The sequence below is a fragment of the Homo sapiens genome, chromosome 6 (genome assembly GCF_000001405.40).
Source record: "Homo sapiens chromosome 6, GRCh38.p14 Primary Assembly".
Taxonomy (NCBI): domain Eukaryota; kingdom Metazoa; phylum Chordata; class Mammalia; order Primates; family Hominidae; genus Homo; species Homo sapiens.
Window position 1 is genome coordinate 119,033,602 of NC_000006.12, and position 18,093 is coordinate 119,051,694.

General features: G+C 39.6%; 1 protein-coding gene across 3 annotated transcripts in view, besides 1 other annotated feature; it reads right to left on the minus strand.

Moving 5' to 3' along the window:
* The window catches only part of FAM184A (family with sequence similarity 184 member A), a 189,366-nt gene that overhangs the window by 73,839 nt on the left and 97,434 nt on the right, over window positions 1-18,093 (minus strand). The window lies entirely within an intron of this gene.
* Window positions 6,903-7,794: an enhancer, noted in NCBI's record as "H3K27ac-H3K4me1 hESC enhancer chr6:119361669-119362560 (GRCh37/hg19 assembly coordinates)". NCBI's record gives its function as "activates a minimal SCP1, AML or CMV promoter by ChIP-STARR-seq in primed H9 embryonic stem cells {active_cell/tissue: H9 hESC(primed)}" and the evidence as "EXISTENCE:reporter gene assay evidence [ECO:0000049][PMID:30033119]".

The window sequence follows — 18,093 nt, forward strand, 5'->3', positions numbered from 1 at the left end:
TTGCAGTGAGCCAAGATTATGCCGCTGCACTCCAGCCCGGACGACAGAGTGAGACTCCGTCTCAAAAAAAAAAAAAAGAAAGAAAGAAACTAAAGAAGTTACAGAATTAGGCCACTGCGGTGGCTCACACCTGTAATCCCAGGACTTTGGGAGGCCCAGATGGGTGGATCACCTGAGGCTAGGAGTTCAAGTCCAGCCTGGCCAACATGGCAAAACCCCATCTCTACTAAAAGTACAAAAATTAGTCAGACATGGTGGCACGCGTCTGTAATCCCAGCTACCCAGGAGGCTGAGGCAGGAGAATTGCTTGTCCTGGGAGGCAGAGGCTGCAGTGAGCCGAGATCATGCCACTGCACTCCAGCCTGAGTGACAGAGTGAGACTCTGTCTCAAAAAAAAAAAAAAAAAAAAAAAAAAAAAATATATATATATATATATATATAGAGAGAGAGAGAGAGAGAGAGAGAGAGAGAGAGTTAAATCCAAGAAATAGTCCCAAGTACCTCAGGCTAATAAAATGAGGTAGATGAAAGAAAAAATATTAAAATGAGGAGATCATAAACGAACATACATTCTAAAGAAAAAAGCAAGAACCAAAACTCATAGAGTATCGCTTAGTGCAAAGTGAATGTTAGAAAGAAAAATCCCAAACTCTTTCACCACCAAGCATTTGTATATACATATGCATGAATTTTCTTTTTTCTGAATCATTTGAAAATAAGTTGCAGCTATCAGAACCCATCACTAAATATCTTAGTACATTGTTTCATAAGATCAAAGACAGTAGCATTATTATTCCCAGGAAATTTAACTTAATAGAATATTATCTAACACAGAGCCTATATTTAAATTCACCAAATTATGCCAATAGTGAAATCTACAATAGCTTTTCTTTGTCAATGAAGATCCAGTCAAGGATCCCACATTGTATTGAGTCGTCATATTCTTTGTCTGTTTTAATATATAGTTTTTTTTTTTTTTAAAAAAACCTTTGCTTTTTGTTTTTTTATTTCATCATATTAACATTTTTTAGAGAGCCTAGGCTGGATATTTTCTAGAATGCATATATTTTTATAGTCTTTATTTTATAGGTTTTTAATGTCAAGTTTCTCTTTGTGGAAATCTTACATTGTGGCTTCTCAATCCATCCTACCTACCACTGCTTACAGTATCTAATACATTATCAGGGCACATTTCATCAGTGGGCTTTTCCTATACTACCTTTCCCCCAACCCTATGCTAAACTAGTGTTCTTCTTCTGTAATGTCCGACTCAGTATTAAGAGATAAGAAAAAATATTAGAAAATGAATTTTGTTTACAAAAGGTTTAGTCCCTAAGACAAACCAACGTACTCCTGTGTGGCAAGCCCTTTAGGAGGGCTCGCCTGAGTAATAACAGCTGTCTCTGTGGACCACATGTCCTTTCTTTTCCTGAGTGGAGTTTGTGAGCCAAAGGTCAGAATTAGACTGTTCACAACTACGGAAGGATTTTTTTTAAAAGGCTGTGAGAGTGGAAGAAAAAGCAACTGGCCGGTTAGACATTTAAAGAGGATTTTAACAAAACCTTTTAACCCACTGTAAACCAAAAATAAAATTCCAAGTTCCCCAAAGAACTGAATGGACTCCTCCTCTTGGCCAAGAGCATTCCAAAGTTAACCTGATAAACTAGTTCAGGCTATGATAGGAAGAGGGGGTCACACATACCTCATTATACCCTCCTCCCACTGGAATTCAGGGACAGCTGACAAGAATTAACATTAAAACAATGATTTTAAGACTGATGAACCAGACTTTTTGTAGCAATAAGACACCAAATTCCAGCCAGGTTTACAGGACGCACAGCAAGCCCTGAAAGAAACTGAAGTATTTCACTCCAAAATATATTTATTTGACATATTTTGAAATGGCCCTGCAAAACTGTCTCTTGTGGGGAAAATCTACATTGTGTGGAGAATCCCCCTCCCTTTCCAGGTGTTCTCCCTGATCCGGGAGAGAATTAACTAAGAGTCTGGTATCTTTTTAGGTCTGATAAGAGCTCTGAAGCCTGCCACCTGGAGGCTTCATCTGCATGATAAAACCTTCGTCTCCACAACCTTATCTTAACCCAGACACTCCTAGGTCTTTAGGTAACAACGCTTTTAACCAGCTGCCAAAAAAAATTTTTTTTGAATCCACCTATGACCAGAAACCCCCACCCTGTCACCCTCCTTTCAAGTTGTCGCACCTTTCCCAATGGAACAAACGTACATCTTACGTGTACTGATTTATGTTTTATGCCACCCTAAAATGTATAAAACCAAGCTATAGCCCGACCACCTTGGGCATATGTTCTCAGGATCTCCTGGAGCTATGTCAGGGGACATTGGTCACTCATATTTGGCTCAGAATACATCTTTTCAAATATTTTACAGAGTTTGACTCTTTTCGTTGACACCATATTAATATAAAATATTGAGTCACTTATCTATTTCCTATTAATGACTAGAACAGGATCTACTAGAGAGATGCACTGAAGATCTGGAGTTCAACGTGAATAGAATGGGAACAAATGCTACCTACACAGAATAGTTCAGCCCCATAAATGATTCACGTCTTTTTTTCCCCTCGGTCCAGTGTCTTTTTTTTTTTAACTAGAAAGGAAAATCAAAAGACAAAAGCCATTCTTCGTACATTATGTAATCAAATGAATGTCAGCAACAGATGTGTGTCCAAATGAAACATTTACAAGACAGTTCACAAAAGGAGCTCATTTGGATTTTACTTAAGCCAAGGGCACTATAAAACTCTAATTTTAAAAGAACTTTAAAATCCAATTGCATTGGGAAATTGTCTTTAAAGATATATTTCCTCGCTGTATGATTCTATAATTATTGCTGGGAAATCTTTTGGAAAATATTGATAAAGTCTAATAATGTTGGAGGTATCTTTGTGTATGGTAATGTGGAATACATCTGTTTCCCCAGATTTAACTTGAATTCTCAAACAGCAAGCAGAAGTCCTACTATACAGCTATGATTCAGGATCTGTGCAATGGGATCTGTGCTACCATACTTCAACAACAACAAAAATCAAAACAACAAACATTTTGTGAATGCTCAGTACTTTTTTATATGCATTCTGGCAAAGAAAAGTATGAATGTTCTTAATCTTTCTCAAAATAGACCTGCTCAAAATAAAACATATTTTTATTTTGGCATAAAATATAATGGCAGACAATTTTTAGATAATATATATTAAGTGTCAAGCTGTATAGTACAGAATACTGTGACATGGCATAATAAGTTTTCAGTAGAAAGAACTGGATAAAGATTGCAGTAATTAGAAAGGCATAAAAGGGCAAAGTCAGTTGTCAAGAACTACGAGGAAAGCAACTTCAGTTAAGGCACAAAATGTGAATGATTTTTGTGGTTGGTGTGGCCCAATAATCCTGGACACTGAGAGAATGAGTGCCATGGAATGTCAGTTAAAGTTAAAAACTTCCTAGTTATTAATTTGTCCCTGAAATTTAACTGGAAAAAGTGTCTTTATAGTAATTTTAAGATTTAGAATCTCTGTATATTTTTCTGTTTGTATGCCTACAATGGTACTAGGCAATGGTTCTAAGACAGATTTTTTTCTTTCACATTTGAACATTTCTTAAATCAGGGTTCATCTTACAGTCAATTAAATATCATAGTTTGACAGCAGGACAAAAGGATAGCAGTTGTGAGGGGTTTTTTTGTTGTTGTTGTTTGTTTTTAAGTTTTTTAAGAGACAGGGCTTCACTATGTTGCCCAGGCTGGGCCTTGAACTCCTGGGCTCAAGTGATCTATTGCCACAGCCTCCTGAGTAGCTGGGACTACAAGCATGTGCCACTACACCTGGCTTTGATAATAGTTCATTGGTTTATTCTGATAACATGCCTTCACTGTTTGCTATCTAACCAATACAAACACCATCAATATTCTTGAATGAGATGGCAACACCAAAACTGTGTTTTGCCCTTTGGAATAAAAAATGACAACATCCAATAACAAATAAAAAAGAAAAATTAATAATAAAATAACAGTCACATAGGTTAATTGTGGTAGTATAACTTAATTTAGAATACGTAAAAATAATATTTGCTAAGCATTGGCAAAGCCATTTCTTTTTGCGTTTTATACTACAGAAGACACTGATAAGTTTCAACCTTCAAAATTTTACTTTAGAAAATCAACAAGCAAGAAAATGAAGTCAAAAACTACCTTTTTCTCTTCTTGAAAAGCAGTCCAAAGCAAAAAAGAAAATAAGAAAAAGGTAAACTCTTATCTTGGATAAAGTTTTATCTACGAGGCATCTTTACCTGAATCTCAATATGTGAGGACAGAAAGCAAATGAGGAAATACGAAATAATTTGTCAGAATACAAGAAGGTAAAACCTTAGTGTTGAGAGAGAGAAAAATCACTAAGAAGAAATTTGACTTGTCCAGCACAGCCCTAGAAACACAAGAGGAGCAGGTGGGGAGCCGAGATAAGAGGCTGATAACAGGAGGTTGTTTTCTAGTTTGCAAAGGGCAGTTAAACCCCCAGCTGTCACCTGAATCAAGCAGACAGGACAGTAATCTCTCCTACACTAGTAAAAAAAATAAACAAACAAACAAATAGAGAAAATGAGCTAAAGAAACTGTAGGCTTGGGGATGCTGGACACAGAGTGTCAGAGGCAATTGAACCTGAGCAACTTCATCTTAAATAGGAGCTGAGTAAAATGAGGCTGAAACCTACTGGGCTGCATTCTCAGATTGCTAAGGCATTCTAAGTCACAGGATGAGATAGGAGGTCATGACAAAAGACAGGTCACAAAGACCTTGCTGATAAAACAGGTTGCAGTAAAGGAGTCAGCTAAAACCCACCAAAACCAAAATGGCCAGGAGAGTGACCTCTGGCTGTCCTCACTGCAACACTCCCACCAGCGCCATGACAGTTTATAAATGCCATGGCAACGTCAGGAAGTTACCCTATATGGTCTGAAAAGAGGAGGCATAAATAATCCATCCCTTGTTTAGCATATCATCAAGAAATAACCATAAAAATGGGCAACCAGCAGCCCTCAGGGCTGCTCTGTCTATGGAGTAGCCATTATTTTATTTCTTTACTTTCTTAATATACTTGTTTTCGCTTTGCACTACGGACCGGCCCTGAATTCTTTCTTGAGCGAGATCCAGGAACCCTCTCTTGGGGTCTGGATCGGGACCCCTTTCCTGTAACAAGAGGAGGTCAGGGATGAGTACAAAAAGCAGAGGGATTCAGTGAAAAAACTCACAAGCCACAGACTGGGAGAAAATATTTGCAAAAGATAAAGGACTTAACCAAAATGTACAAAGAACACTTACAACTCAACAATAAGAAAATGAGTAATCTGATTTTTAAATGGGCAAAATATCTCAATAAATACCTCACCAAAAAAGATACATACATGGCAAATAAGTATATGAAAATATGCTTAACATCAATAATGATTTGCATATTAAAATAGTAAGATGTCACGACACACATATTAGATCTAGGCCAAAACCCAACACACTGACAACAGCAAATGCTGATGAGAATATGGAGCAGCAAGAACTCTCATTTATTGCTTGTGAGAATATTGTAGACATTTTGGAAGATAGTTGAGCGGTTTCTTATAAAACTAAACACATTCTTATCATACAATCCAGGAATTGGTATTTACTCAAATGAGTTAAAAATATATGTCCATACAAAAACTGGCACACAGATGTTTATAGCAGCTTTATTCAAAAGTGCCAAATCTCAAAAGTAAGGCGTCCTTCAGTAGGTGAATGGATAAACTGATCCAGACGATGGAATATTATTCAGAGATAAAAAGAAATGAACGATCAAGCCATGGGAAAACATGAAGAAATCTTAAATGCATATTGTTAAGTAAAAGAAGCCAAATTGAAAAAGCTACATATTGTATGATCCCAATTACATGACATTCTAGAAAAGGCAGAAGTATGAAGATAGTAAATAGATCAGTAGTTGCCAGGGGTTGAGGAGAGGGAGGAAGGAATAGGCAGTGTTACAGGTATCATAGCTAGGCAAGACTGGGGCTGGACAGGGCTCTGCCCCACCCCCCACTAGAAATGTCAGGTGATGGTTTGGCAATTATCACACTGCCTCTCTAAAAATGATAATTCAGCAGCACCAGGGACAGGCCATTTCTTGATGGTCCACACCTGTTAACATCAAAACGTTAATTGGATGCAGGCCCCAGGGAGATGCAACTTCCTGGACATGCAGATTAAGAGACAAAAATGGCAAAGTATCTTCTGGGTACGCTACACTGGAAAAAGGAAGAAAGCCTCAGATGGGCATGTGTATAACTCCCTAAACACACTACGCGTGCTCTGCACATGCAGGCAGCCCACCCTTAGGGAAAAATCATGGGAAAAAGGTGAGCCTATAAAAGTCCTAGCATCAGGTTAAACGGGGACTCGACCTTCTCTCTTTAATCTTCATATGCCTGCGTGGGTCTCTTCCAAGTGCACCTTGTTCTAAGGCCTTTTAAATAAATTTCCATTCCTGCTCTGGAACTTGCCTCAGTCTGTTTTTCTGCTTTATGCCCCTCAGTTGAATTCTTTCTTCTGAGGAGGCAAAGACTGAAGTTGCTGTGGACCCGTATGGATTTGCCGCCGGTAACTCGGGGTACCTCAGATCTCTTCCACCACTAACATATTTGTTGCCGTGACTTGGATACCTTCCTAGTGGTAAGAGATTTCTATGCCTCACCTTCTTCAGCTGGAGGCATCTGACCCACATGCATGGCTTTTCCTCTCTTTCCTGCTTACTAACAAATTCCCCAGAGTAATTCCTCTTGGCCAGAGTGACTCTGCTCCGCCCAGCTGATTTCTCAGGTCACCTTGCCGGGTGGCTTGCAAGGGTGGCAGGGACTTTAGGGTCTGTACTGAGCATATCTAAGGCATTATATGGCCCTTCTTGACAGGAGCCTTGCACAAATGGTGGGGCTAAAGCCTAAACCATGTAATGTCTCGGGCTTCCTCTGCTTTTTCAACTAAAATCGGCTCTTTTCCGGGACAAATACGAATTGGAACTCTGGCTTTGCTGGCTTTTCATAACTCACCAAGTGCTTTTTGTTCCTGTTATATCCCGGGGCTAAGTTTTCTAATGGCTCTTAAAAGCTGCTTGTCCACCTGCACAGACCTTCAATCTGGCCCTTTTTAAGGACTCCACCCACTTGCTTTTTAAGTTAGCACCACTTTAGGAGGTGGAGAAATTCTTACCCCAAGCCGCAAGTCCTCAGGGGTTACTGATTTATGTTTGAACTTTTGTTCCAGAAGGTGAACAAATGTTGCACTCTTGAATCCAAGGGCTGCTGTTTTTGCAAGCATTTGAGGGGTTTCCATGCGTGTTCCTTCCACTTCCTCCTTTAGCTCCCATTTCTTGAACTACTTCCACACCCTTCTCAACAGGCAACAGGGCCTTCAAAGTCATATTCTAGGGGAGAGAATTCCAGCCCCTGTAGCAGTTAATGGAGAAATAAGCTTCTAAGAAAAGACATGATCATTTTATTACTAAAATACTCCAAGTGAGGGTTACTATAAGGTCGTGGCGACAAGGCCAGCCCAAGGCCGCAGACACAAGAGATCCACGGGACAGAGATGAAGGGTGGTCCCAAGCTAAAATTATGATGAGATGGGACTGAGAGACAAGACTAGCTGGATTTCCCAGGCTGACTAAGAATCCCTAAACCCAGCTGGGAAGGTGAGCGCATCCACCTTTAAACACGGGGCTTGCAACTTAGCTCACACTCGGCCAATCAGGTAGTAAAGAGCGCTCACTAAAATGCTAATTAGACAAAAACAGTAAGTAAAGAAATAGCCAATCATCTATCGCCTGAGAGCACAGCGGGAGGGACAATGATCAGGATATAAACCCAGACATTCCAGCTGGCAACCGCTACCCTCTTTGGGTCCCCTCCCTTTGTATGGGAGCTCTGTTTTCACTCTATTAAATCTTGCAGCTGCACTCTTCTGGTCCGTGTTTGTTACGGCTAGAGCTGAGCTTTCACTCCCAGTTCCCCACTGCTGTTTGTCACCTTCGCAGACCCGCCGCTGACTTCCACCCCTCCGGATCCGGCAGGGTGTCCACTGTGCTCCTGATCCAGTGAGGTGCCCACTGCCACTCTGGATCGGGCTAAAGGCTTGCCATTGGTCCTGCACGGCTAAGTGCCCGGGTTCGTCCTAATCGAGCTGAACACTAGTTGCTGGGTTCCACGGTTCTCTTCCATGACCCACGGCTTCTAATAGAGGTATAACACTCACCGCATGGCCCAAGATTCCATTCCTTGGAATCCGTGAGGCTAAGAACCCCAGGTCAGAGAACACGAGGCTTGCCACCATCTTGGAAGCGGCCCGCCACCATCTTGGGAGCTCTGGGAACAAGGACCCCCTGGTAACAGGACCAAGGGTACCCGTTAAGACTGGTTAAGCCCGGAACCCAGAACTGACGGTACATGGCAAGACCAGTTAAGCCTGGAACCCAGAACTAGGGGAATATGGTAAGACTGGTTAAGCCCAGAACCCAGAACCGGGGGTACATGGTAAGATCGGTAAAGCCTGGAACCCAGGACGATGGGGGATGCCTCATCCAGGATAATGGGAAGAAAGGGGGAATGCCTTCTTTTTCCTTTTTCTTCTCCTCTGTTCTCTCTTCACAAGTGGCAGATGGGTAATCATGTGTCCACACTGCAGGGCATGTTCCTCGGATGCATTCCCCAAAACTGGGAAGTTTAATTTCCCCAAACTTTAAACTACTTGGCTTCAAAATAAACTGGGAGGAAATTACTTCTAAACTTCCATTCTTAGTCTGGAACTTGCCTGGGTCTCTTTTTTTTGCTTTATGCCCCTCAGTTGAATTCTTTCTTTTGAGGAGGCAAAGACTGAAGTTGCCGTGGACCCATATGGATTCACCACCAATAATTTGGGGTAATTCAGATCTCTTCCACTGCTAACAAGAGCACAGAGGATTTTTAGGGCAGTGGAACTATTCTATATAATACCACAATGGTGAACACATGTCATTATACATTTGTCAAAATCCCTAGGATGTACAACATCAAGAACAAATCCTAATGTAAACCATGGACTTTAGGTAATAATGATGGACTTTGGGTGATAATGATGTGTCAATGTAGGTCTAATGATTCTAACATATCACTCTACTACACGATGCTGACAGTCAGGGAGGCCATGTGTGTTGGAGAAAAGGGGATGGGAACTCTGTACTTTCTGCTCAACTTTGCTGTGAAACTAAAAATTGCTCTAAAAGAGTAAAGTCTATTTTTCAAAAATCTGCATCCTGAACAATGTGTCCCGAGTTCTCCCCACACCTGCCCAAATTCTGAATGCCAAGAGTCAGGCAGCAGATTAAAGAATTCTCTGAAGAAAATTAAATATCTATTCACATTGACATTTGGGTGTGTTCAATTTATTAAAAATAAATCTGATGGGGTTCCAGTTTCCACCTAGAATGTAGAAATATAAATGGAGCAATGTTCTACCTAATGACTATGAAATAACCTATAAATTCATCAATTTTCATGAACCTATCAGAAAGCTGAGATCACAATGCAACCAACTGGCTTTCACTCTAAGAAAAGCCTCCAAGGACAGACAGGACACAGGCATTGGCTCACCTGTGGCAGAGCACAGAAGGAAAATGAGAAGGTCACATAAGTGGGTAAGAATTCAGCAAAAATTTACTAAAAATTGCTCAAGGTAAGAACATGGGCAAGTGTGAGAAAATGGAACCCAGGGAAGCCACAGACACAATCAAGTTTGCCTACTCATAGTCTCTTTTCTATGACCTCAGTGGGTAGTCACAAGAAAAACTGTTTACTGGGTAGGAGACAGAGAAAGCTTTGCTCAGAGAAACAGGCCTCCCACTGCAGGGAAAGCACAAAAACTACCCAGATCCTTCTCATCTAAGGAACAAAAGCCATAAGCTACTAGGGTAAGGGCAACAAACCCTCTTTTTCTACCCCTGCCCCACCTCGGCACCTTTAGCCCCAGGGCAAATGTGATAACCTAGTGAGGCTGGGGAAAGAGAAAAAAAGAAAAACTCTTTGGGAGAATGGGCAGGAAGCCATTGGATGTAAATGAAAACAAAATGTATCAAAACTTGTAGGATGCAGCTCAAACAGTGGTCTGCAACCTGTTTTGTAAATAAAGGAACACAGGTATGCCTTTTCATTTATGTATTGTCTATGGCTGCCTTCCCATTATACTGGCATAATTGAGTAGTTATAAACTACACTGAAAAAGAAAGAACTCAAATCAATAACCTAAATTCACACCTCAAAGAACCAGAAAAGGAAGAGTAAATGAAACCCAAAACAGAAGGAAGAAAACAATAAAGATTAGAGTAGGTATAAATGAAACAGAGAATAGAAAACAGTAGAGAGAACCAATGAAACCAAAAGTTGATTTTTTAAAATGATCAACAAAATTGACAAGCCTTAGACTGATTAAGACAAAGGAGAATCACACTTTTACCACTATTAACATTGCACTGGATGTCCTAGCTAGAGCAATTATGCAAGAAAAAGAAATATAAGGCATCCAAATTGGGGAAGTAAAACTATCATTATTTGCAGATGATACAATTTTTTTAATCTACAAAATCTCAAATGATCAACAAAAAACTATTCGAGCTAATAAACGAATTCAGCAAATTTGCAGAAGATTTAGAAGCCTTAGGTCTCTGAGGCACAAGAATCACTTGAGACCAGGAATTCAAGACTAGCCTAGGCAACAAAGCAAGAGTCTGTCTCTACGAAAAATTTAAAAGTTAGCTGGGTGTGGTGGTATGCACTTAGAGTCCTAGTTACTCGGCAGGCTGAGGTGGCCAGATTGCTTTAGCCTAGGAGTTCAAGGGCATAGTAAGCTATGATCTTGTCACTGCATTTCAGCCTGGGTAACAAAGCGAGAACTTGTCTCTCTTTAATTAAAAAAAAAAAAAGATCAACACACATCAATTATAAACTATCAATGAAGCAATGAACACTTTGAAAAAAAAAATTAAGAAAACAATTCCAATTACCTGGGTACTACTGATGCTGTGACTTACATGCCCCAAATAATTTAATGTTAATAGAGACTGAAGTTTGTAAACGTGAAGAAAAGGAAAGCCTTAATGGCCAATACACTGGGAACTGGGTATAACTCTTAGTTTATCTCATCTATGTTGGAGTCCTCTAGAGAGTGACAGCTACTGATATCATTAAGGTATGTGGTGATTAGGAATTAGAGTGCTTTATTTTCTTCCAAAATTTATGGAGTTGGTCTGTACCTGGCTCTGTACATTACACAGGTAAACATGCACCAAATATGTTGAGCAAGGAACACAATTCTAGCGATCTCTTCTAATTTGGAATGCTGTAAATACAACCTACGCTTGCTCTCAAAGCATTTCTTATGGGTTCTCCAACCTTTTGCCCCTTCATCCATTCAAGGATTGCTGATATTCTTAGGCAGAAGGGAAGTGAAGCCAAAAGTGACATTCCTTCCCTCATCTACTCATCTAGTTCACTGCTCTATGGTCATATCAAAGAAGCTGGGAAACCTCTGGTATATTGATAAAAATAAATGAGAAAAGGAAGGCTGTTTTCCTCTACCTGCTAAAACAGTATAACTATCAGTTTCTCAATTTTTTTTTTTTTTTTGCCATTCTATTCATCTACGTATATCAAGGAAAGAGACCCTAATAGGAGCTAGACTCTTCTTTTAAACACTTGTTTTCTAATTGTCCTTCTTAAACCTACCCGATGTGCAGATGACATAACCATCACCTAGGGCTGGCTCAAGGTCACATGCAGGCCTCTGAAAAATGCATTTTGGCATTACAACCTTGGAGAAAAAATCACCCACAAAGCAACCTTGGAGCAGTGACTTAACAGCAGATTTTTCTTCTTGGTGACTGAACTTTGGAATTGAAAGAGGCAGAAGAACAGTGGAGAGGGGATGTAGGGTAGGATACAAAAATGGCGAGACCAGACTGCCTGCCTGCCTCATATACAGATAGAAGATGCAAAATGCACCACAGTGAAATTACTAATAAGAGCAACAAATACTCAAAGCTGCAATAACAAAGATTTCCTATATTTTCATGCTCAATTCAGACAAAATTTCTTCTTAAATACAATAAAGCCAATTAAAAAAAATTTATATTGCAAAAATCTGGATTAGGGAAGTTAATAAATATTTAAGAACTAATTATGCTTCTTTTTCTCTACACCTTTGCCATTACTAGTGATCTCCCTGGAATGTCCTCCTTTTGTCATATCCCTATTGAAAATGATGCTTAGGAAAAGTATATGTACTATATATTCCCTGATTACTAAAGTAATCACTATTCATTGTAGAAAATTTGGATAATATATTAAAAACAAAAGGAATAAGGAAAAACATTCCATCCTTTATCTTATTACAACTGTTATCTTTTTTCCATATCTCACCTTGTAACAGAACCTAATAAGAGGTTGGATATAGGGAATGAAATACAAAGAAAAATTTAAAATCACACCAAGTATTTGGAATTGGTAAGTAAGATAAAAGTTGTGGTCATGATAGAAAATGTATACCTTTTTTTTTTTTTTTGAGACAGAGTCTAGCTTTGTTGCCCAGGCTGGAGTGCAGTGGCATGATCTAGGCTCACTGCAATCTCTGCCTCCTGGGTTCAAGCGATCCTCCTGACTCAGCCTCCCAAGTAGCTGACAAGTACAGACAAGCGCAACCACACCCAGCTAAGGTTTGTATTTTTAGTAGAGACAGGGTTTCACAATGTTGGCCAGGCTGGTCTCAAACTCCTAGCCTCAGGTGATCCACCTGCCTCGGCCTGAAAAGGTATGCTTTAAAAAGTTAACTACACCAAGTTGATCTTCAAACGACCAATTTTGTAGTGATTGTTATACCTACCAAATAAAAAAAAAAACTATGCAAAAATACACCATAATTTTTACTATGCCCATGCAATTTCCTGTCATCAAAAGCATGAATTCTTTGTGCTGTATATCAAGTAAAGTCAATTATGACTAACATTTCTTTAGTATTTGGAAAAGGCCATATGACACCACAGTCTTGCTAATACATACCCCTGAATGGCCAGGAATGCAGAGCAGATCTTAGGAGCAACTACCGCTATAACCATTATATGGTATATCATAGCATCCACAAGATCGTGGAATCTATTTTTAAGAATATCCTGCACCAAGGCAACCAAAGCAAAAATGAACAAATGGGATTACATCAAGGTAAAAAGCTTCTGCACAGCAAAGGATATAATCAACCAAGTGAAGAGACAACCCACAGAGTAGAAAATATTTGCAAACTACCCATCTGACAAGGGATTAATAACCAGAATACATAAAAGCTCAAAAAACGCTACAGGAAAAAAATCTAATAATCTGATAAAAAAATGGGCATAAGATTTAAATAGACATTTCTCAACAGAAGACATACAAATGGCAAACAGGCATATAAAAAAGTGCTCAACATTATTGATTATCAGAGAAATGCAAATCAAAACTACAATGAGATATCATCTCATTCCAGTTAAAATGGCTTATATCTAAAAGACAGGCAGTAACAAATGCTGGCAAGGATATGGAGAAAAGGGAACCCTTGTACACTATGGATGGGAATGTAAATGAGTACAATCACTATGAAGGGCAGTTTGGAGGTTCCTCAAAAAACTAGAAATTAAACTACTATATGATCCAGCAATCCCACTGCTGGGTATGTACCCAAAAGAGAGGAAATCAGTATATCAAAGAGATATCTATACCCTTATGTTTGTTGCAGCACCGGTTATAATAGTTAAGATTTGGAAGTAACCTACGTGTCCATCAACAGATGAATGGATAAAGAAAATGTCGTACACAATTGCAAAGATGAAGGGGACGTTACCACTGATCCCACAGAAATAAAAACAGCCATCAGAAACTACTACGAACACCTCTGTGCACACAAACTAGAAAACCTAGAAGAGATGGACAAATTCCTGGACACATACACTCTCCCAAGACTGAACCAGGAAGAAATTGATTCCCTGAACAGATCAATAATGAGCTCCAAAATTAAATCAGTAATAAATAGCCTAAAAACCAAAAAAAGCCCAGGATCATATGGATTCACGGCCAAATTCTACCAGATATAAAACAAAGAGCTGGTACCATTCCTACTGAAACTATTCCATAAAATTGAGGAGGAAGGACTCCTCCCCAACACATTCTATAAGGCCAGCATTAGTCTGATACCAAAACCTAGCAGAGACACACACAGAAAAAAAGAAAACTTCAGGCCAATATCCTTGATGAACACCAGTGCAAAAATCCTTAACAAAATACTTGCAAACCAAATCCAGCAGCATATCAAAAAGCTAATCCATCATGATCAAGTAGTCTTCATCTCCGGGATGGAAGGTTAGTTCAACATACCCAAGTGAACAAATGTGATTCATCACATAAACAGAACTAAAGACAAAAGCCACATGATTGTCTCAATAGATGCAGAAAGGCTTTTGATAAAATTCAACATCCCTTCATGTGAAAAAAACTCAGTAAACAAGATATTGAAGGAACATACCTCAAAATAATAATAACCATCTATGACAAACCCACAGCCAACATCATACTGAATGGGCAAAAGCTGGAAGCATTTCCCTTGAAAACCAGCACAAGACAAGGATGCCCTCTCTCACCACTCTTATTCAACACAGAATTGGAAGTCTTAGCCAGAGCAATCACACAAGAGAAAGAAATAAAGGGCATCCAAATAGAAAGAGAAGAAGTCAAACTATCCCTGTTTGCAGATGACATGATTCTATATATAGAAAACCCCATAGTCTCGGGCCAAAAGCTCCTTCAGCTGATAAACAACTTCAGCAAAGTTTCAGGATACAAAATCGATGTACAAAAATCACTAGCATTCCTATACACCAACAACAGCCAAGCTAAGAGACAAACCAGGAAGGCAATTCCGTTCACAATTGCCACAAAAAGAATAAAATACCTAAGAATACCTGTACACAAAACATCCCGTTCTCACTTATTTGTAGATCTAAAAATCAATACAATTGAACTCATGGACACAGAGAGTAGAATGATGGTTACCAGAGGCTGGGAAGGGTAATGGGATAATGGGGGATGGTAGTGGGGGACTGGTTGAAAGATCTCCACAACAAGAATTACAAAACACTGCTCAAAGAAATCAGAGATGACACAAACAAATGAGAACACATCCCATGCTCATGGATACAAAGAATCAATATCATTAAAATGGCCATACTGACCAAAGCAATTTACAGATTCAATGCTATTCCAATCCAACTACCAATGATATTCTTCACAGAACTACAAAAAACTATTTTAAAATTCATATGGAACCAAAAAAGAGCCCATATAGCCAAGGCAATCCTAAGCAAAAAGGACAAAGCTGGATCCATCACATTACTTGACTTCAAACTATACTACAGGGCTACAGTAACCAAAACAGCATGATCCTGGTACAAAAACAGACACATACGCCAGGCGCGGTGGCTCACGCCTGTAATCCCAGCCCTTTGGGAGGCCAAGACAGGCGGATCACCTGAGGTCAGGAGTTCGAGACCAGCCTGGCCAACATGGTAAAACCCCATCTCTACTAAAAATACAAAAATTACCCGGGCGTGGTGGCGGGCACCTATAGTCCCAGCTACTTGGGAGGCTGAGGCAGGAGAATCACTTGAACCTGGGAGGCAGAGATTGCAGTGAGCCAAGATGGTGCCATTGCACCCCAGCCTGGGGGATAAGAGCGACACTTTGTCTCAAAAAATAAAATAAAAACAAAACAAAACAAAACAGGCACATAGACCAATGGAACAGAATAGAGAGTCCAGAAACAAGACCACATACCTATGACCATCTAATCTTTGACAAAGCTGACAAAAACAAGCAATGGGGAAAACATTCCCTACTCAATAAATGGTGCTGGGATAACTGGCTAGCCATATGTAGAAGATTGGAATTGGACCCCTTCCTTACACCATATACAAAAATCAACTCAAGATGGATTAAAGTCTTAAATGTAAAACCCAAAACTATAAAAACTCTGGAAGATAACCTAGGCAATACCATTCAGGACACAGGAATGGGCAAAGGTTCCATGACAAGGACACCAAAAACAATCACGACAAAAGCCAAAATTGACAAGTGGGATCTAATTAAGCTAAAGAGCTTCTGCACAGCAAAAGAAACTATCATTAGAGTGAACAAGCAACCTACAGAATGGGAGAAAATTCTTGCAAACTATGCATCTGACAAAGATCTAATATCCAGCATCTATAAGGAACTTAAATGTACAGGACAAAAACAACCCCATTAAAAAGTGGACAAAGGACATGAACAGACACTTTTCCAAAGAAGACATACATGCAGTGAACCAGCATACGAAAGAAAGGTCAATATCACTGATCATGAGAGAAATGCAAGTCAAAACCACAATGAGATACCATCTCACACCAGTCAGAATGGCAATTATTAAAAAGTCAAAAAACAACAAATGCTAGTGAGGTTACAGAGAAAAGGGAACACTTATACATTGCTGGTGGGAGTGTTAATTAGTTCAACCATTGTGGAAAGCAGTGTGGCAATTCCTCAAAGAGCTAAAAACAGAACTACCATTTGACCCAGCAATCCCATTACTGGGTATATACCCAGAGGAATATAAATCATTCCACCATAAAGACACATGCAGACGAATGTTCACTGCGGCACTATTCACAATAGCAAAGACATGGAATCAGCTTAAGTGCCCATTAATGACAGATTGGGTTTTTTTTTTAAAAAAAGGGTACATATACACCACAGAACACTATGCAGCCATAAAAAAAAAATGAGATCATAGGCCGGGCGCGGTGGCTCACGCCTGTAATCCCAGCACTTTGGGAGGCTGAGGCGGGTGGATCATGAGGTCAGGAGATCGAGACCATCCTGGCTAACAAGGTGAAACCCCGTCTCTACTAAAAATACAAAAAATTAGCCGGGCGCGGTGGCGGGCGCTGTAGTCCCAGCTACTCGGGAGGTTGAGGCAGGAGAATGGCGTGAACCCGGGAAGCGGAGCTTGCAGTGAGCCGAGATTGCGCCACTGCAGTCCGCAGTCCGGCCTGGGCGACAGAGCGAGACTCCGTCTCAAAAAAAAAAAAAAAAGAGATCATGTCTTTTGCAAGAATATGGATAGAGCTGGAGGCTATTACTATCCTTGCAAACTAACTCAGGAAAAGAAAACCAAATATCGCAGGTTTTCACTTATAAATGGGAGCTAAATGATGAGAACTCATGAACACAAAGAAGGGAACGCTGGGGCCTACCTGAGAGTGGAGGGTGGGAGGAGGGAAAGGAGCAGAAAAAATAACTGTTGGGTACTAGGCTTAACACCTGGGTGATGAAGTAAGTTGTACAACAAACACCTGTGACATGAGATTACCTACATAACAAACTCACACATGTACACCTGAACCTAAAATAAAAGTTTAAAAAAAGAAAATGTGGTACATGTACACAATGGAATACAATTCAGCCATAAAAAAGAATGAGACTCAGTCATCTACAACAACATGGATGGAACTGGAGATCATTAGGTTAAGTGAAATAAACCAGGCACACAAAGACAAAACACTACGTGTTCTCACTTATTTGTGGGATCTAAAAATCAAAACAATTGAACTCATGGACATAGAGGGTAGAATGATGGTTACTAGAGGCTGGAGAGGGTAGTGGGGTGTTAGGAAGAAGGAGGGATGGTTAATGGGTACCAAAAGAAAAAAATGAATAAGACTTACTATTTGATAGCACAGTAGGATAACTATAGTCAATAACTTAATTGTATATTTTAAAATAAAGACTATAATTGGATTGTTTGTAACTCAAAGGATAAATGCTTGAGAGAATAGATACTCCATTTTCATTGACATGCTTATTTCATATTGCATCAAAACATCTCATATACCCCATAAATATATACGAGTACTATGTACCCACAAAATTTTTTTTTAAAAAGAGAGTATCTTGCCAAAA